Source organism: Homo sapiens, chromosome 12 (genome assembly GCF_000001405.40).
Source record: "Homo sapiens chromosome 12, GRCh38.p14 Primary Assembly".
Lineage (NCBI taxonomy): Eukaryota > Metazoa > Chordata > Mammalia > Primates > Hominidae > Homo > Homo sapiens.
The window spans coordinates 47,917,641-47,939,172 of record NC_000012.12 but is presented as its reverse complement, the minus strand read 5'-3'; the positions used below and the strand labels follow the sequence as shown (position 1 = coordinate 47,939,172).

At 44.1% G+C, this 21,532-nt stretch overlaps 1 annotated feature.

The window, feature by feature from the left end:
• Window positions 3,383-3,883: an enhancer, noted in NCBI's record as "H3K4me1 hESC enhancer chr12:48329073-48329573 (GRCh37/hg19 assembly coordinates)". NCBI's record gives its function as "activates a minimal SCP1, AML or CMV promoter by ChIP-STARR-seq in primed H9 embryonic stem cells {active_cell/tissue: H9 hESC(primed)}" and the evidence as "EXISTENCE:reporter gene assay evidence [ECO:0000049][PMID:30033119]".

The window sequence follows — 21,532 nt, the reverse complement described above, 5'->3', positions numbered from 1 at the left end:
AAGTGCTCAGTGCTTGAGCACTGGACAACATGATGTGGCCCTGGAGGAAGCCAGACCAGTTCCACTGTCCCCCAGACCAAAGTCGGGTACCCTCCATTTCATCCTAAAACAACCCCACAAAGTAGTCATTATTACTGCCATTCCCTAAACAAGGAAATGGGTGCTCAGGTGATTCTGCAACTTAGCAAAGGTTACACAGGAAGTCAGGGATGGAGCTGGGATGCAGTCTCCATTTCTCGTTCCTTGAAGAACTCATCCCAGTTGGAGGGGCATGGCTGTTCAAGCCAGGTCAGAATCTAGTGGGGCTGGAGGAGGTAAGTAGAGAGAGGATTCTCCTGGGCTTGGCAGTGCTGCCCTGCAACAAGGGCAGAGCACAGACTTCAGGGGCCTCTTTATGCCAGGGCCCAGTGGGGCTGCCTGGACACACAATAGGGAAGGCCATTAGCACTCGTCCACTGGCGTCCTGGTCTTGCCTGCGTCTCCCTGTGACATGTGTGACATTGAACACATTGTCTACAGCCCTCACTCCTCTGGAGGCTCTAAACCCTGGAGAACATAAGCAGTGTGAGAGAAGGAGCTGGTGAAATGCTAACCCCAGCAGGTACAGTGGCTTGCACTTGTAATCCCAGCATTTTGAGAGGCCGAGGCAGGAGAATCATTTAATCCCAGGAGTTTGAGACCAGCCTGGGCAATGGAAGGAGACCCTGTCTCAACAAAACATAAAAAAAAAAATAGCCAGGCATGTTGGGGAGTGCTGCCTGTAGTCCCAGTTATTTGGAAGGGTAAGGCAGGAGGATTTCTTGAGCCCAGCTGGTTGAGACTGCAGTGAGTCATAATTGTGCCACTCCACTCCTGCCTGGGTGACAGAGCAAGAATCTGTCTCTAAATAAATAAATAAATAAATAAGAAATCCTAACCACATCCTGTTCCCCCAACCCTCAAGAAGCCATTCCTTCTAACTCTGGGGATGCAGCTGGGCTCATGTTCCTTTGCTTGGAAATCTCTTAAACTAGGTTTCGCTTTTAGAGCTCATCCTTGCCCTCCTTCTCCCTCCAGGAAGGCCAGGACCTGGCTCCATTTTTACAGGTGGGCTATGTTGGGCCTCAGAGATCTCTGGGGATGGGGAGGCTATATAGCTCATCTTGCTCCCCCTCCCCACGGTCTTTCATGCCCAAGAAGTAGAAACTCCTACCTAACTTTGTCCCTCCCAGTGGCATGTATGGCAAATCACTGTAGCCCAGGTCTCTGAGAATCAAGATGACCTTGGAACTTGCTGTTCAATGGATTCTTTTTCTGTCTTTCCAGTTCCCCATGGCTCTATCTCTTTATTTTCCTTTGCATCATCTCTATGTCATTTCACAATTAATTAATTAATTTTCAAGCAGATGCAGTCTGGGTATAGGGAATCCCCTCCTTGGGGCCCTCATAAGACTGACATGTGGGATTTCCTAGCTCTAGATCCAACACCTAACGAGTGAGTCTAAACATCTACTTTGTGCCTTTTCCCAATAACATTTGATCTAATTCTTAGGGCTGTCCCTGCATGTGCACACACACAGTCACACATACACATACTTGTACATACATATGCTCTCACCCATACTTGCACACACATTCACATGTACACACTAGCACAAGGACTGCTGTCTGTAACACAAGGTGTTGGTGTGTTAGGAAAGGGGCCTCTGTCACTGACAGGGAAAATTCTTCCTCAAGCACTTTGTTGAACGAACACCATGATGGGCCACTTGGGTTGTGGAAGGCAGTCCTTGCATGGAGTGGGCTTTGACTGAGACAGACATAACCAACATAGGAATTTGTGGGTGAGTGTTGGTTAGTTTAGAAGGAGATTGGACGAGGAAGGAGCCACAACATGGTAGGAGGCTTGAGTCCAAGTAGAAGACAATTCCCCATGGTGGGAATATGGGGAAAGGAAAGAACTGAAAGACTTTTAAGGACAAAGATTCTAATGATCAACATTACGACTGATTCTGTTATGCAGCAAAGAACTGCCCCTCAGTTACTTTCAGCTCTACAGTAGTCCACATACAGTAGACACCGCCTGGCCTTTGTGGTAACATCTTAGAGAAATTAAGAAATATGGGCTGAATTACATGTTTGAACCAATGGAGGCGGAGGTGGAAATGTCCACAAGAGGCAAGACATTAAAAAAAGAGATAAAATTCCATAGAAGCAGGAACTTAGAGCCAGAAGTGACTGAAAGAAACATAAGCCCAACTCCATTCCCACCTCAAACATTCCTAGACATACTAGGATTAGATACCTGGATTTCCCACCATTTGTGGGATGAATGTCTGAGTACATACCATTTCAACAAAGCTGAGTTACATGTAAATACACATATTAAATCACATGTGTGTTCACACTCACATGAGCATTACTTTTCTCTTCATAGAGCATGAATGAAGCAGTGATTTGGCAAGTATCAGGTTAATTTTACAAATGAAAACAGCCAAACCAGAATATTTAGGTTCAAAAATCACCACTGGCCTGAATGATCTGGTTTGGCCACGTATATTTAGCAAGTTAACTAGAAAAGTGCCAAAGTCCTGCACTTGTGCTTGCCAGGTGCACTTTTAATAGGGTGGCCTAAATCCTTGCAGATATACAGATACCTCTCCACACATTATTATTAAGTAGATCTCTCCACATATTATTACATCTAATGTATATTTGTAAGCAACTCCATGATTGTCCTAGATTATCTAGGACTGATCTTTCATACTAGGCTGGTTTTCTGCAGCTACCTGTCATGTGACTGACCCTAAAAAGGAGGTCATGCTAGAAAAGGCCATTGTTGCTTCTCTTCTTGTTGTTGTTTCATTCTCTATTAATGCGTGCTCAGAAAATGCAATGAAATTTACTATTAGCCTAAATTGTACGTAACTGGTCTGCCAGTTACAGAAAAAAAAAAAAAGCAACACAATCCCAAATATAAAGCACCAAATATGAAAATAAAGACGTAAAGAAATAGGAAGAGGACAGTTACAATGGAAGAGTTTTGAGTCAAAAGAGAGATTTTGGGTTTTACCTTTGTTCTGCTAGGGACTTGCTTTGCAAATGTGTCAGTGTCATTATTTGTCCTACGACAGGGTGGGCCTAAGAGCTTTTGAGAATTGCCTTCCAGCTCTAAAATGCTAAGATGCCCTAAGAGTGTATGACTCAGGGAGATCATCCGGTGCTTATGAGGAGTGGTCTGATGTGGTAGAAATAATGCTTCTCAAGCTTTAATGTGTATGTAAAATGTGAATCGCCAGGGGATCTTGTTGAAATGTAGACTCTGATTCACGGGGTCCAGGTTTGCAATTCCATATTTCTAACAAGCTCCTAGGGTGAGCCAATGCTGCTGGTCTGTGGACTACACATTGAAAAGCAAAGGCATGAAACATATTAGGTCTGGAGTTAGAAGTCCCAGGCCTGTCCCTAGTTTCTTATCTTTGCTGAGCCTCAGTTTCCTCTTTTGCAAAATAAACAAAACAAAACAGTCTTAAATACATACTTTCTGGAGGATGTTGTGAGACTCAAGGGAGATAACGCATTTGAAAGACCTCTACATCGTAAAGTGCCTTACAAACGTTTGTTAGGATTGTTCTGAGGTTGCTGGGCTTTGCCTTCAAAGCCTTCTGGTAGCTGGGCGTTGCTGACATGGCGAGTGGGGCTGATGGACTGATAGCAGCTCACAACCTTGCATCCGTTCCATGGTGCACTCACGTGAAGCTGTTTCTCTGGAAGCTGTTATTTACTGAGCCAGATGCTATGTGTCTCTCCCTCCGCCGTCTGATTGCTAGTCTGCTTGTGCTCCTGGCCCTGACCCAGAGAGGCCACATGGCTTTCAGCTGTGCTGGGGCATCCAGAATGCATTCCTGTCTCTCCCGGCTTGTGGGCTCTCCCTTCAGCTGACCACACGCTCAGGGCTGGCCCTGGGTGGGACTCTGCATTAGGCAGTTTTCCCTGCCAGTTTTTCCCCTCAGGCAGCCAGTGCCCTCATGCCCTCCTGCCCCCGTGCCCTCAGCTCACTCCACCCAACCCGCCCCCATCAAATGCTCATGTCAGGAAATCATCTGATATATGAATTCACATCGAGTTGGCAATGCCTGATAAGGCTTGGGGTGACCTCTCCATAGGGGATGAAGTCAAGATGGCAGTCAGAACCACAAGGGAATGGCTCAGGGATAGGTGCCTGGAAAGGGTCACATTTTCGGAAATCCTAGTCTTCAGTGTCCTGGATCTGTATGCCTTACCATTTTCCATTCCCAGCCAGAAATGCTCAAACTTTGCTGTGTTCCTGATCTTGCTCCTGACTCGTATGAGTGTGTCTGTGAAAGCCAAGATTAACTCCTTTGATTTTGTAGACTGATGTGAGAATCTGGCAGGTCTGACTTTCTTAGCTGTGAAGATGCTTGGGCACAGCTACCAAGACTGATCGGCTTCCTGCGTGTGACAGTCATGGCAGCTGAAGCTCATGTGTGGGACGTGTGTGTCCTGGTGATGAACACCCTCCCTGGCAGCTATAACACTACCCCTTCCTTTCTTGTTCAAGCGAATGTCATCTAAGTAAATGAGAATATTATTATAAGGATAATATTGATTTGCTCTGATTATTATTTTTTAAGTTTTCTTAAACTTTGGTCCTTTTCTTTTTTTTGAGACAGAGTCTCAATCTGTCACCCAAGCTGGAATTCAGTGGTGAGACCTCGGCTTACTGCAACCTCTGCCTCCTGGGTTCAAGCCTCCTGGGTTCAAGTGATTCTCATGCCTCAGCCTCTCCAGTAGCTGGGATTACAGTCATGTGCCACCATGCCCAGCTAATTCTTTTCTTTGTATTGTTGGTAGAGATGGGGTTTTGCCATGTTGGCCAGGCTGGTCTGGAACTCCTGACCTCAGGTGATCCGCCCGCCTCAGCCTCTCAAAGTCCTGGGATTACAGGTGTGAGCCACCGTGCCCAGCCAACTTTTGTTCTTTTCTTAACGTCAGTGACAAATAGCAGCATTTAATTCTTGACTCTCTGTTCACTTCAATATTGGGGCCATAGACAACCTACTCAAGAAGGGGATTTGATTCTATACACCAAACCCACTGAATACCTATTATGTACCAGGCTGCCAACCTTTGAAGATACAAAGATAATTAAGACATGGGCACCACATCGCCAACAGAAAAGGGAGAGGGGGACTTGTCTCCTATGGACTTAATATCCTCTAGGCTTTCATCATATCAACAGTACCTCTAGGCCAGGCACAGTGGCTCATGCCTATAATCCCAGCACTTTGGGAGGCCAAGGCAGGAGGATTGCTTGAGCACAGGAATTTGAGACCAGCCTAGGCAGCATAGTGAGACCCTGTCTCTACAAAAAATTTAAAAATTAGCCAGATATGGTGGCCTGTGCCTGTGGTCCCAGCTCCTCGGGAGGCTGAGGCAGGATCATTGATTGAGCCTAGGAGGTTGAGGCTACAGCAAGCCATGATTACGCCACTGCACTCCAGACTGGGTGACAAAGCAAGATCCTGTCTCAAAAAACAAAACAGAAAAATAGTACCTCTACTTGCCTTTAAAGCTCTTTCTGCCCCTCTTTCATTCTTTTTCCTTCCTAGATAAATCTTGCTTTTCATTTTTTTTTTTTTAGTTTGTCAGGTTTATTAATTCTCTCAGCTTTCGAGTTTGTCATTATTGTTTCCTGATTCTTTAATTTTTGCTTTTTTGTTTCTTTCTACTTTCTTTGAACGTTCTTAGTTTTTGAATAGAATACGTAGCTCACTAACATTCAATCTTATTTTCTAATCATATTTAAAACCATACATTTTCCTATAAAAACTATTTTCAGCCAGGTGTGGTGGCTCATGCCTGTAATCCTAGCACTTTGGGAGGCCGAGGCGGGCGGATCATGCGGTCAGGAGATCCAGATCATCCTGGCTAACACAGTGAAACCTCGTTTCTACTAAAAATACAAAAAATTAGCTGGGCGTGGTGACGCACGCCTGTAGTCCCAGCTACTTGGGATGCTGAGGCAGGAGAATCACTTGAACCTGGGAGGCAGAGGTTGCAGTGAGCCGAGATTGCGCCACTGTACTCCAGCCTGGGTGACAGAGCGAGACTCCATCTCAGGAAAAAAAAAAAAAAACTATTTTCACTGCATCCACAAATTTTGATGTGTATTGTTTTCATTATTATTTGGTTGTAACAATTTCATAACCATAATTATATTTCTTTGGTTTAAGTCATTTAGGGGAGTACTAGAAGTTTTCCAAATAAATATTTTATTTATCTTCTTGAATTTGAATTTTTATTTCACTTTATTGTGGTCACAGAACATATAAACTTTTTGGGTGTTTTTTGAGAAGTGCTTTAGGATTTACTTTTATAAATATTTCGTCATGTGTTCTTAAAAAAGTGCGTCTTGTCGATTTTGGGGTGTAAGATTTTATATACATCTATCAACTCAGGACTTAATAAGTTTTGTTCAAATGATTTCTATTCTTATTCGATTTTTGGCTTCTTAAGCTTCATGTTTCTAAAAATGATGAATAGAAATCTCCTACTCTGTGTATTTGTTAATTTCTCCTTGTAATTGTCTCAATTTTTGCTTAGTGTATTTCAAGCCTATATTGCTAAATGCGTGCAGATTTAGTCTTATTATATCTTCCTGATATAATATCTTTAAGTAATGATCTTCTTTATCCTTATAATGCTTGTCAGATTTTTTTGTTTTGCTTTAGACTCTGTTTGTTCTGATATTAATATTGCTACAGCAAGCTTTTTTTAATATCATTTCCCCCAAAAACATTTTTGTGTTGTTACGGATTGTGAACAAAATAGATGAACTTTTGAAATCCAGTCTGAGAATCTCTATCCTTTAGCAGATACGTTATATCCAATAACATTATACACAGTGAATCTCTTAGTTTGCCCAGGTTTTAAGCCGGAAGTATCCAGAGGAACTGAAGATGTCATTGCCATTCCCAGGAAAATGAACATGAATTGTTCACTCATAGCTCTCCTGAGAGAATTGCCTGGGAATTGTCAAATTCCCTAGTCCTGGAGATGACCTCATCTTGTGCTTATTTTACCTTTCTCTTCCACTTCAAGTACAGTCATCCAGTCTGCCACCAGCATCTATTAGCCCTAGATGTGTCCCGTATACCTCTAGCCCCCACTGCTTGGCTCACACAATCCAAAGGAGGATTTTTTTTTTTTTTTTTTTGAGACAGAGTCTTGCTCCATTGCCCAGGCCGAAGTATAGTGGCATGATCTCGGCTCACTGCAACCTCCGCCTCCTAGGTTCAAGCGATTCTTGTACCTTAGCCTCCCGAGTTGCTGGGATTACAGGCACACACTGCCATGCCCGGCTAATTTTTATAATTTTAGTAGAGATGGGGTTTCACTGTGTTGACCAGGCTGGTCTTGAACTCCTGGCCTCAAGTGATCTGCCCACCTTGGCCTCCCAAAGTGTTGGGATTACAGGTGTGAGCCACTGCACACGGCTATGGGAGGATAATTTACTTGGGATGTCCATGTCCTTCAGCATGTGGGCGGGATGGACAAAGGAGTTGACTCAGTTCAGTAGTCAACACCCCACTGGTTACTGAACCCCACTTAGTTCAGTAAGCAAAAGTGAGCCCTCTTGGCATCTACAAGTCTGAGGCAACCCTTTGCTCTCCAGGCTTTGTCCACCTGAATCTTCCTCCGTCCTCTTCTCCCTGAGTTGCTGTGGTTTCTCCCATCCCATAGTTCCCTCCACAACCCTCCCTCCTTGCATGCACAGGCAAACATACACACACATATGCAGATTCCTATGCTGGCTTCAGTATAACTGGCTAGGGAGGAATTTGCTTTGAAGAGTCTCATTGGCAGGAATGTCTCTGCTTTTCTTTGAAGTCAGAAAAGCAGATATTTTTGTTTGGGGAGTAGAAGTGGGGAAAGGTGAAGTGTAGGTAGATACCTTGATCAGGTGAGCAAATGGCATGAGTGGGGGAGATTTAAGCAGCACCACAGGTACTCCGTAGTGAGCCCTATGTTTCCTGCCCATAGCAGGGTTGGGTTTAGAGTCTCCAGCTCTCTTCCCATCCAGCCTGAGCTTACACCTCAGAAGGGTAAGCTTGGGCTTGACTAGGGAGGTGGTATCCTTTCTCACATTCCTATCTTAGTGGCTTAGGAGCTTGAAACTGTGGAGGAGGCGTAAGAGTCTGTGGTCTGGGGAAGGTTGAGGCTGAAAGCCCTGAATGGTTAGGAGGCAAGGGCCCTGGTATTTGTGCAGCACCTGAGGAGTCTGCAGGGAGTACAATACAGGCACATCAACAGAGGCCCGAGAGACCTTGGGAACACAAGAGCACACACCTGTTGTCAATGCTGTACTACCTGTTGGCTCAGCAAGAGCTCTCTTAGGGCCTAATCGGATGCCAGGTGAAGTGCAGGGACCCAGGGAAACAGGAGTGACAGAGCGTGGGTGTGGGAGTGATTTGAAGGATATGATGAAGGGGACTTTTTAGTATCATTAGGGCCATCGCCATCACCCAATCTCCATTGAACTGGTAGACTCCAAAGACCAGCTCATCAGAGACTCTCCCTGGGACCACGGTTGGTTTCCATTCTTTGAAAGCCTTTCTGTTAGTGAAAAATGATAGAAAGGATCAGATTTACTTGATAACGAGAGGGTTCTCAGAAACTATAACCTGTGCTTAGGAACCAGACAACCCCATTAAAAATATATGTTCACAAATCATTGACTGAAAATGATACCCTGCCACAATTTCTAAACAATGCTCTGTGGCCAATAATCCTAGTTTTCAGTACTCAAGGATAGGGTAAAAGGCAGTACCGGTGTGGGTAGGCGCATCTGTACAGCACTTTCCACTGCTTAAGCTAAGAGACCAAAGCTTCCACATGTGCTGTTACCTGGAGCAGGAGCTCTTTAGCCTTCTCACCTAAAACAGGAACTGAGGCATCTTTTCACTTGGTAATGTCTTCCTTCACTTTGGTTCATCCCCAAGCATGCTGTGATATAACCAAGCCACCTAGTACTACCTGGCTAAGGCTGGCCAGGATGGACAGAACCAGATAAGGATAGCATTCTTGGCCCTGGGAGCAGGGCAACAAGAACTCCAGGCCAGGGGCAGCAGCCCACAGCACAGAGTGGCATGCGTTTTAATTCCAGGATCCTTTTATCCCCCCTGGATCTCAGGTTTTCCCCAGGCACCTAGAACACAAACCCAGATCTCCTGATGGACTCTGCACAGACATCACTCTTGTGTCACTCAGTTGCTTGGCTGAGAACAGACTCGAGGTTTGTCTGCAGCACCTTGGAGATGTGGAAGCGCTTTCTGTCCCCCTTGACTTGCCTCGGGCCCTATCTCCTCTGGTGGGGGTGGAAAGGCAAGTTGTCGGGAGCAGAAGGTACATTGAGTTCTCAGAGAGCACCTAGATATCAGTCCCACTCAGAGTAGGCAAACAGAGCTCTGGAAGAAAGCATCTCAGCAGCAGTGTGTGGGTGGGTCCTTTCATCCTCAGCACCCGGCGGTTAGAGTAATTGGCACAATTACTGATTACCACCATGGCAGGTGAGATTGTAATTGGGCTTGGGATGGGGGCGGGTGGGCACACCTGAACCTAATGAAGTGGGTTTAGGAAACTGAAAGCTGGCTTGTTGATAGGGAAAGCTCCTGCACCTGGCGCCTCCAGGAGGCAGAATCTGCTCCAGGGAACACCTTGGGGCTTGGAGTTGGGGGTTAGGGCAAGGATGGAGGGGCTGATGGTGGGCAGAGATCCTCAGCTTTGGGTCGCCTGTACACAGTGCTTTGTCTTGCTGACAATGATGCTAATAAACTCTAAGTCACATCTAGCCCTTGGTTTGTCTTTGGACATCAAACCTAGGAAGCTCTGATGATGGCTGCCCATCGTCATTCAGGCCCCAGGCCCCTACCCACCTCTCCTGCCTTTACTAACGGGTCCAGAAGTCTCACTGCAGGCTTTATGCCAAGCTCAGAGGTCTGAGAGCCCTGGGGAGCCATGGAGGAAGTGGATGGCCTGGGCAATGATGCCTATGTGTGCGTCTCGCCTGTGGTCTCAGGCAGGCTGCAGAGGCCACAGGGCAGCATTGTCTTGGGCTCAGCTCCCCCTCTCCCTACTGGCCACGCTGACCTGGGCCTCCCAATCCCATCTTGGTCTAGTATCCCTGTGTCTGGAGACCCAATGAAGAGGGTCTGATTATGAAAGTTTGGGGCCAGACTTCTATTGCAGAGGTTTCTTTGGGCTCAAGAGGGAATTTGGGCCACAGGGTAAACAAGCTGAGTTCCTGGGAAGAAGTGCCCCGAACCAGCTGTTTGAGGTTGAAGGAAAGCTCCCATTGTCCTGGGCCAGGCCACATAGAATCATCTGCAGGAAGCAGAGACTGCACTTTCGCCATAGGATATGTCCCCCTTTTGTGGCTAACACATCCTCTGGCTCTTTATTGAGGACTTCAGTCTGCTTCATCTCTGCCCCCAGTCATAGACCTGGTCCTTAATGTCCCACAGGGCTGGAGAAACTTCACCTCAGTGAGCCCAGTGGCTGGGTCTAGCTCTGGGGTTGAGCAAGAGATGAGAGATAATACGTAACCTTTTAGAGCCAAAAGGTTAAGAGGAGGCAGGGGGTTGTCCGAGTTGGACAAGGAAGCCTCATGGTGTCTGTAGCAGGATTTGGGTCACTGAAGGGCTCCATCTGCCCTAATAGCACTAACTGCAGCTCTTCACCAAAATTAATTTTTAAGTGTCCATGTATGGACTCAACCAAGACCACTTTTGATCTGGTGCCAGGGTCAAAGGTGGTCTTGGTTGAGTCCATATGTGGCCCAGGTTGTGGCACATCGTGGCAAGGCCAATGAGCCTCTTGGTTCCCTTACCTCAGGTTATTCTCTGTTCCTCACTCCCATCTCCCACTCGGATCCATTCTCACCTTTCTCTGTCCTGTTCTGTGTCCCAGGAGGCTGGCTCTCTGGACTACGTCTGGGTTGGTCAGAAACTTTCCTAGGATTCTTCTAAGCCTAAGGAAGATATTTTGGGAAAAGAATGTCCTTATTTAAAGCTGGAAAAAACCCAGTGTGATTCTTGCTGTTCTAGTAAATTTATCAATCCCCTATAATTTTCTTGACCCCAAAGATAACAAGCTGTGCTCTTAAAGAAGGGCGTAACCACATCCTTCCCTTTTGTGATCTCTTTGCTGCCCTTCTCTTTCCAAAACACAGCTTTACAGACCAGGCAGAAATGGTCAGTCCAGCCCACAATTCCAAGCATGGTTTCCCACCACTCTGAACATATACATCCTGAATAGTTCAGACTCCGATCTCTGGGAAGCCCCTAATGTCCCTTGGCCAGAAGCTCCCACAATGACATATGATACCCTCATTTATTCCTCCAAACCTTCTCCTGTCATGGGAGGTGGCTGTACTCATAGAGCATCCCTGAACTAAAGGGCCAAGATATGAGCTTCGCTGTCATGGGAGCCTTTCCTCTTTCAGATCATTCCTTTTTTGGGTGCCACTGGCAAGGGTATAGCCATAGCAACAGTGCCAGGGTCAAAAGTGGTCTTGTTTGAGTTCATACATGGCTCAGGTCATGGCAAAGTCAACATCATGGCAAAGCCAATGAACCTCTTGGTTCCCTTACCTCGGGTTATTCTCTGTTCCTCAATCCCACCTCCCACTCGGATCCATTCTCACCTTTCTCTGTCCTGTTCTGTGTCCCAGAAGGCTGGCTGTCTGGACTATGCCCCCATGGACTCCCTCACTGAAGGGCTTCAGACAGGGTCCAGCAGGGGAGGCACTTTCAGGGGATCTGAGGGCCAGAGGAGAGGGAGGCCAAGTATTTCTCCCTCCTTCTCCTTGCTCCAGGGCCAAGTCTCTGTGCAGTGACTGCAGTTCCTGCCAGGAGTCCCATTCTCCATGCTTCCAGCTCTCTCTGGGCTCTGGTTGCTATTTCTTTCCTTATCCCTTGGGCCATTGAGATCAAGGTGGTAATGATTTCCTAATATTCCTACAGTCCATTTTCATTCCCTTAACCTTGCCTACACCTCTATCAATTGACTTTTCTTCAAGGTCTCTTCATTTGACCCCTCTGGGGTGAATTGTATTTTCTGCTAGGGCCTTGTTGGATACGTCTCGCCTCCTTCACTTTCCAAACAGCACTTGCTGGGATCCTTGTGTCAGTGCTCAGAGTTTCACTACCATTGCTGTCTAAATGAGACATCCAGGCTCTGGTCCACTCCATTCCTCCCATTTGTAGACATTGATTCCACTCTCTCTCCTCATCAGCCAGTCCCTCTGTGGAGAGGAGAGCTGGTGGTGGATGCTGGTGGACTTGGGCAGGAGGACATTGCCTTTGCCATGACTGCACAGCTGTCTTCCCACCATAGCTATGTCTTGCCACATTGGCAGGCAGGGCTCCTGGGGATTCTCTTACCTCAAGGGGAACAGTGCAAAGAGTGAAGGGCAAGATGATACAGGTAGATATAAACAGAAAGGAAAAAAAGAAAAGAAAGACAGATGATATTTCCATGCCAGGCAGGAGGTGATGTAGCTTCCAAGAGGAAGGGGAGGTAGAACATGGTGCTCAAGGATAAAGCCCAACTCCCTAACACGCATGAAAATAAATGACTTCCCACTCTGGCTCAAACAGCTTTGCAGACTCTCCATGCCACTCCTTTCCCACTGATATATCTGAAGATACTGAGCCCCTTGCTCTCCCCTAAAGTCTCTGAGTGCTCCATATCATCATGCTCATGCTCTTCCCTCTGAATAGAAAACTGTTTGCATTAGTTTTCTAGTGCCGTATAATAAGTGCCACAGCCTAATGATAAATAGCATCCATGTATTAGTCACTGCTCTGTAGGCCAGAAGTCCAGGTGACCCCTGCTAGGTTATCTGTCTGGAGTCTCATAAGCCCAAAATTCATGTGTCGCCTGGGTAGCCTCTTTCTGGAGGCTCTGGGAAAGAATCTGCTTCCAAGTTCATTCAGGCTGTTGGCAGAATTCAGTTCCAGTGGCTGCAGGCCTGAGGTTCCTATTTCTCAGCTGGCTGTCACTGGGGTCTCTCTTGAGTCTGTAAAGCCATCTGCATTGCTTCTCCTGTGGTCCCTCCATCTTCAAGTCAGCAATGGCATATCAAGCCCTTCTCATGCCTCAAGTCTCTCACTTATTCTTCTATCACCAGCCAGATACAATGCCCTGGTTTTACAGGGCTCATGTGATTAGATCAGACCCACCTGGATTATCTCCATTTACCATATAATCATGGGAGTAAGACCAGGGGGTGAAGGTCATGGGGCCATCCTAAAATCTACTTATTTCACTTTCTCTCTTTAGTTCAAATGTTAACTTCTCCATGACACCATCTTGGTCTCTTCACTCAGAATCAACAGCTGTCCTAGAGCTTTACTGACTCTTGACTAGACCTCTTATGATGTATTAATGAGGTATTTGAGAGTAGGCACTGTATGTTACTCATCTTTGTATCTTCTATTGCACCAATGCCCATCACTTAGTAGGTATTCAGTAAACATCTATTGAAAGAAAGGAAGGAAAGAGGGAAGGAAGGAAGGAAGGAAGGAAGGAAGGAAGGAATCAAGGAAGGAATCAAGAAAGGAACAGAAGAGGAAGAGGAAGAGGCTACAAAGACATAATGATAAGGACCTGAAAGAGCATCTGGTTTGAAGGGTCACATTTCTGTAAAGATATTGAGGGTACTTTGGGTCAATCCATTTTCTTTTTCTTTCTTTCTTTCTTTTTTTTTTTTTTTTTTTTGAGACAGAGTCTCTCTCTGTCACTCAGGCTGGAGTGCAATGGTACAATCTCAGCTCACTGCAATCTCCACCTCCCGAGTTCAAGCAATTCTCCTGCCTCAGCCTCCTAAGCTGGGATTACAGGCACCCACCACCATGCCTGGCTAATTTTTTGTATTTAGTGGAGACAGGGTTTCACCATGTTGGCCAGGCTGGTCTCGAACTCCTCACCTCAGGTGATTACCCGCCTTGGCCTCCCAAAGTGCTGGGATTACAGGCATGAGCCACTGCGCCTGGCCTCAATCCATTTTCTTAAGCTGCTTCCTCCTCCTCCTCCTCCTCTTTCTTCCTCTTCAAACTTGATTTGAAAAAGTTTCAGACTCTGCACTTATTACTCACCACTCCCAGAGGTAGTACTACTCCCAAGAACTAATGTTTTATACCTTTGTTTCCCAGCAAAGTGCATGATTGATTCAAAAGAGCCAATTCAAGAGGTTTGTCCTCAGTAGGTAAGCCCAGTGGTCATTCCTTCTCTTGCAGGGCAGATGACAATAGGACAGGCCACGAAGGACAAATTCTGGAGGTGTGGGAATGTTTTCAGTTTCAGACAGATATGAACCAGGCAAGATCCCTGAGTTTAGCACCAAGGTTTTGATGGGGATGAGAAAATTCCAACTCTTTTCTTTTTGGAAAAATCATACATTTTGATAATAGGTTATTAGATTTCTTGCCTTTATGCCATCAACTGAGGAGTAGGGGCAATGATCCCATTAATACAATCCTTCTCTTTCTTTAGTAATAAGGCATGGCTAGACGCACTCCTTCAGATAAGGCAAGTAGCACCAACCCGTGGCCCAGCTGGGCCCCATGTGTAGCCCCTCTTGGTGGAGTTCCGAGCTGACCCTTGCTGGTTCTTTTCTCATGTTTCCAGTTTCTGCTTCTTCCTACCCTAGACCCAGGTACGAAAATGGAGATGGGTGACCTACATAGGGAAGTACATTCTTTTCATGCATTAACATTTTTAAAAAAGTAATATGTGTATATGGTAAAAAGCCAAATGAAACAGAAAGATAAGATGAAAAGTAAACATCTCCCTCAACACATCCCTCACCTGACCCAAGTTTCTCTCTCTAAAGCCTGTCATTGTTGATAGTTTCTTACATCTTTTTCTAAAAAAAAAAAAAATATGGTGCCTGCATTTTAAACTCAATCATAATACCTCCGCAGCTAGTACATGGTTTAATTGGAGACTTATTTCCGCAAAGATCATGTTCTCTCCTCTGAACTATTAAGCCAATTTAGAAGCATTTAGAAAAACTATTTTTCAAGCAAATTAAAGTATTGAACCTGTTTACAGTTCATCCAAGACAAAGATGAAATGTTATTTTAACTTCCCCAAGATAGCAGCTTCCTCTCCCTCCAGCCCACGAGCCTTTCTCAATTCCCAGTTCACCTTTCTCCTGCCCAGGTAAAAGCAGTTAAGACATTTAAAAAGACATATTTGCAAAGACATATCAGTAACTCCCCCACAGAAGGTAAAGTGGACACAACAACCTCCTTAGCACGTTCTCAGTCTGTCCTGATTTAAGCCCTTGTTGAGGGTGGTAACTTTTCTGTTTATAAATAAAACTTCAGCAGAAGCAAGTGGGTCTAATGCTAGGTACAACTGGACTGAGAAAGACCTTAAGTCAAAGACATATCCTTTTTGAGACAGGGTCTTGCTCTGTTGCCCAGGCTGGTGTACAGTGGTGTGAATACAGCTCACTGCAGCCTTTACCCCTTGGGCTCAAGTGATCCTCCCACCTCAGCCTCCTGGGTAGCTGGGACTACAGGTGTGCACCACCATGCCCGGCTAATTTCTGTATTTTTCGTAGAGATAGTGTCCCACTATATTGTCCAGGCTGGTCTCGAACTCCTGAGTTCAAGCAACCCACCTGCCTTGGCCTCCCAAAGTCCTGGGGTTACAGGTGTGAGCCACTGTGTCCAGCCTCAGAGACATAGCCTAAGAGAGATCTACTCATCTAGATATTGGGGCAATCTTAGGTAAAAGTCTCCATCTACTTATTACTACTTACTTATAGGATCTTTTCCATTCCCACTCTCATTATCTATATATCTTTGCTCTGTTTATAGCCTCCTGGGTCCTCCCGACTCTCTAATTCTCTAAACTAGCTTTCAGACAGAATCTAAAATTCATTTAGGTACAAAGTCATGCATAAAACCTAAAGCAGAGTCTCCAAAAGTATGAGCAATGGAAAAATTTCCCACTTGATGCTTCAAGGAATAGTTCCAATAGGTTTGGAAAACCCCACATACTATGTCTCTTGCTTGAAGGTTCCGATACAGATTTGCTCATGGAAGACCCTGAGAAGTCCTGTGTTGAAGAAATCTACTTGATATTGGTTCATCCATTCATTCAAATATTTATGGAGTTCCTACAGTGTGCCGGGGTTATTCTAGACACTAGACTGATGGCAATAAATGAGATCGACATGGTTTTTAATTTTAATTGGAAGAGCGGATAATGCACAATTAAAACTCACAGTTTCAAATAGTGATAAAGACTGCCATAAAGAGTGATGTGGTAAGGGTGTCTACCTTAGATGGAGTGGGGAGGAAAGACCCTCTCTGGGATGCGACATTTGACCAGAAACCTGAATGACGAGGAGGCCAGTTATGTGAAGATCTGGGAAGAGCATCCTGGGCGACGGGACTGGCATATGCAAAGGTGCTGAAGCTCAAATAAACTTTTGCATGTTTGGTGAGACCTGAGAGGTAGGAAGGGGCGAAATCAAACAGGACCTCGTGGGCTACCGCAAGGTATTTACTTTCTCTATAATAACATTTCCCAATGTTTTTGATCATATAACTTTTTTTCTGCTATAAAAATATTTATTAACATCCCATAGAGCTAGTATGCTGTGGAACACCATTTGCCAAACCAGGGTCAGCAGTATTATCCCTCTCCAAATGTTCGTATCCTCTTGAAGGAATTTCTGTTCTAACAGAGTAAAGCTCTGAAGCCAAATTGCAGACTTCTTCTAGCAGATGGGAGAGTATTGTCTTTTTTTTTCTTTTTGATTTTTTAAATTTTGAATCACAAAACATGCCTGGGTAGTCAAAGGTTATTTCAAAACTTTATAAAAGGCTATTTATGTAGATAACTGTTTTTGTAAGTTTTAAATATTTTAATGCCAATCTGCTTCTTGACTATTGGCTTTTTTATTACATAAGTTCCCTAGTCAGTATGGCTGAATGACAGAAAAAGAGGAAAGAGAACAAACAAATTAAGAGTCCTCTGTGGGGGTAAGAGAAGAGCAAGGGAGACTGAGAGTTTTCAGCCATTATCACGGAGTTAAAGATAAAGGCCAGTCATTCCTTATGCTCACTGAAGGACCTAAGTGAATGGGCATGGGCCTCCTAAAAGGAACTGAAATAAGCAATTGGGAAGACCCTCAGGACTAGCAGAAGAATGTGGGACTGTGAGGAATCACTGAAAAAGGGTATCGAATATTCTGACTGTTCAGCAGCCTTTCAGCACCTGGACGGGCTTCTCATCTGCCTCGGTAGATTTTAGGTTAACTTCCTGGACTCTCATTTTTTATTCAAACCAGTGGAAGTGACAGTATGAGGGTAAGAAATCTGGGTAAAGGACCATTTCATGCTAGGAAAGTTAACAAGAAATCATTTCACTATGAGGGAGAACTCAGCTCCTGAAGCAAATTCGTAATAATTAAGATTTTAAAAAGTAATAAGTAATGTATTGAGTGCTTTCTATGCTTCAGGCAAACTTCTAAGTGCTTTTTGTGCATTATTTAATTTAATCTTTATGACACCTCTATGAGGTAGAAAAAAATTATCTCTATTATACAGAGGTAAAGTTGGAGATTCAAGTGGCTTAATAACTAGCTCAAGTTCTATAGTTGTTAAATGGCAGGCCTAAGATTTAAACCTAGGTCAGTTTGAGTCCAGAATCATAGATCTTCATTATTACCTTATACTGCCAAAAATGTGGAGGCAAAACATTGATACTTAACTTGTTAAATTTGAAGGTAATGTAGGGAAAAGGAATCTTTTTATCCTAGGTCTGGAAGTAGGCTTCTGAACTGAATTTTTTTTCTTGTCTTGAGATGAAAAGAACACAAACAGCAGAGCAATAAGAAGACTCGGGTGCTTGTGAGTGGGCAAGATTCCCACGAGAGGAGGCCACCAGGAGTTCACATGAAACACGGATAGCTTCAGCCTTGGATGACAGGACAGATTTGAAAAGTAGAGCCCGAGGCCTGGGAACCCAGAGAGAGGTCCAGGCATCAGCAAATGCAGTCCGGGTGGGAACACAGCAGAGCAGATGTGATTGTGCAGCCTCTGGAGGAAGCATGAATCTAGGAATGGCCAGGAAGGCCAGAGCATGACAACACAGAGGCCCATGCGGACAATTACCTGGAATAACCAGATAAAAAGTGAAAAGACCTTTAAATAAAAACTTAAAACAATAAATTGGGTGGACTGGATAATCAAGTCAACCTTAGTGAGAAGACATGGGAAAGGGATACTGCATATTAATTGTTCCCAGTTCACACCTGCCATCAGATATCTGTCTATATGGCTGGCTCCTCAGTATAACATTTATTTAGCAAGTTTGTTATCATTGAATATTGAGGCACACACATGATACACAAACAGGTATACTATGATTGCACACACAGTTAAATATGAATACGATACTGCAATGAAAACCCATGTACCTAGATTAAGAAAGGGAGCACACCAGTACATCAGAAGCGCCCTGCATTTTCTCCTCCAACAGCTCACCATTATCCTAAGCTTTGTATTAATCATCCTCTTTATACTTTTGCCATCTGTGTGATTGAGTTTTAGACTAGTAAATTTCCTCAGTGTCTTTGAACTTGTACTTATCCAGCCCTAAAACTGTCTATGGTCTCTGGGGATGCATGTGAAGAATAGCAAAATCATGTTTGAGAATATTTGGAAATCATTACTTTCTTATAGCACTGAACACTATTTTGGCTCAGGAGATAATGATATATTTGTATCCCTAAATACTAGACTCTCTCATCTTTCCTGTTTTAAACATTAAATAAATGAAACCATTCTGTATATAGTCCATCACTTACCTCTTTTCTCAGTTTTATGTTTGTGAGACTCACCCATGTGGATGTGAGTTGTTGTAGTTATTTCATTTTCTACTGCTATATAGTATTCCATTTTGGAACATGCCACAATTTATCTATTCATTATTCCATTGACGAATATATTTTTAAGTTTTTTGGCTATTATAAACAATTTTTAAGTGAATGTTTTGTACCTGTCTCTTGGTGCATGTGAACAACAGTTTCTCTGGAGTACATAATTCGGAGTGAAATTGCTGGATTATAAGGTCTGAGCACATTAAACTTCCCTAGGTAGAGATCAGCTGTTCTTTATGGTGGGTCCAACTGACCCACCAGATGAGAGTTACAACTGCCCCACGTCTCTGGTAAAACTTGAGTTGACTGACCTTTCAACTTGGGAGATGTGAAATGATATCTTATTGTGGTTTTAATTTGCATTTCCCTGATTACTAATGAGGACTTTTTCCCCTCATATGTTTACGGATAATTTGTGTTTCCTTTACTGTGAAATGCCTACTCAAATCTTCTGCTCATCTTTCTATGTAATAGTTTACATTTTTATGATTGTCTCATAGCCATCCTTTATATATCTTTGATATTGATCTGTTGTTGGTTAACCATGCGGCAATTATCTTGTTCCACTCTTTGGCTTGTCTTTTCACTATTTTGTTGTCTTTTTTTTTTTTTTTTTTTTTTGAGACGAAGTCTCACTCACTCTGTCACCCAGGCTGGAGTGCAGTGTTGCGGTCACGATCTCAGCTCACTGAAACCTCTGCCTCCCGGTTCAAACGATTCTCCTGCCTCAGCCTTGTGAATATCTGGGATTTACAGGTGCCTGCTACCATGCCAGGCTTATTTTGGTATTTTTAATAAAGATGGGATTTCGCCGTGTTGGCAAGGCTGGTCTCAAACTCCTGACTTCAAGTGATCCACCTGCCCCGGCCTCCCAAACTGTTGGGATTATAGGCGTGAGCCACCGCACCTGGCCATTGTCTTTTTATAGCAGAGATTCTCCACTGTGACATAGTCAAATTGGTTAGTCATTTAGTTTACCCCTTTTCTTTCTCGCTTAAGAAATACCCCTTTTAAAACATTCAATAAATTTTCATTTTAGAGTAGTTTAAGATTTATAGAAAAGTTGAGGCCATGCCTCAACTGCTGGCTCATGCCTGGAATCCCAGCACTTTGGGAAGCCAAAGTAGGTGGACTGTGTGAGCCCAGGAGTTTGAGATCAGCCTGGGCAACATAGAAAGACACTGTTTTTTTTTAAAAAAAAAAAAGTTGCATGAGTATTAAAGAGAGTTCTTATATACACTTCACACCTAGTTTCCCCTGTTATTAACATCTTACATTATGATGGTGCATTTGTGACAACTAATGACCAAATATTGCTATATGATTATTTTCTGAGGTCCCTGGTTTATTTGCATTTCTTTGGCTTTCCTGTTTTAGGATCCCATCCAGGACACCACATTACATTAGCCATCATGTCTCCTTTGGCTCCTCTAGACTATGATGGTTTCTCAAACTTCCCAAGTTTTTGATGATCTTGACAGTTTTGAGGAGGACTGGTCAGGTATTTTTTAGAATGTCCTTCGACTTGGGTTTGTCTGATCTCTTTGTTTCATAGTTACACAGGAAGTATGTGTTTTAGGGAAGAAGACCATAGAGGTAGACTGTCATTTTCATCATATCCTATCAAAGGTATATGCTATTAATATTAACTTATCACCAATAATGTTCACCTTGACCACCTGGCTGAGGTAGTGTTTGCTAGTTCTCCTCACTGTAAAGTTACATTTCTCACCCTTTTCCATACTGTGCTTGTAAAAGGAAATAATAACATGCACACCACACTGAATGAGTAGGGAATGATGCTTCACCTCCTTGAGTGGGTGGTATCTATGTAAGCTATTTGGAATTCTCTTATAGAGGGGATTTATCTAACTAATCTCCCCTACTCATTTACTCATTCAGTCACTAACTGATATTTATTTATTTGTCATGAATATTGATTTATGAAACATGGGTGGCAGAAGCAAGTTTTCACTATTGGAGAGGGAGGTTACAGAAAAGCAAGAAAACAAGGCTAGAATGAACCTTGGAGTTCTGGATGACAGTTAAAAACATTAATATGAACTCATGAACTATGTTGCCCAGGTTGGTCTCGAAATCCTGAGTTCAAGTGATCTTTCCACTTTTGCCTCCCAAAGTGCTGGGATTACAGGTATGAGGCACCAAGCACAACCCTTTAACTTTTTCTTTTTTTCTGAGACAGAGTCTCACGCTGTTGTGCAAGCTGTAGTGCAGTGGCATGATTTTGGCTCACTGCAGCCTCAACCTCCCAAGCTCAAGTTATCCTCCCACCTCAGCTTCCCAAGTAGCTGGGACCACAGGCATGCACCACCACACCTGGCTAATTTTTGTATGTTTTGTAAAGGTGGAGTTTCACCATGTTGCCCAGGTTGGTCTCGAAATCCTGGGCTCAAGTGATCTGCCTGCCTCAGCCTCCCAAAGTGCTAGGTTTATAGGCATGAGCCACTGCACCTGGCCCTAACTTTTTAAATAGGATGCTTAGCACATTAATTTTGAGCTTTAAAAAAAATTAATGTAAACATTCGCAACTATAGCACATGG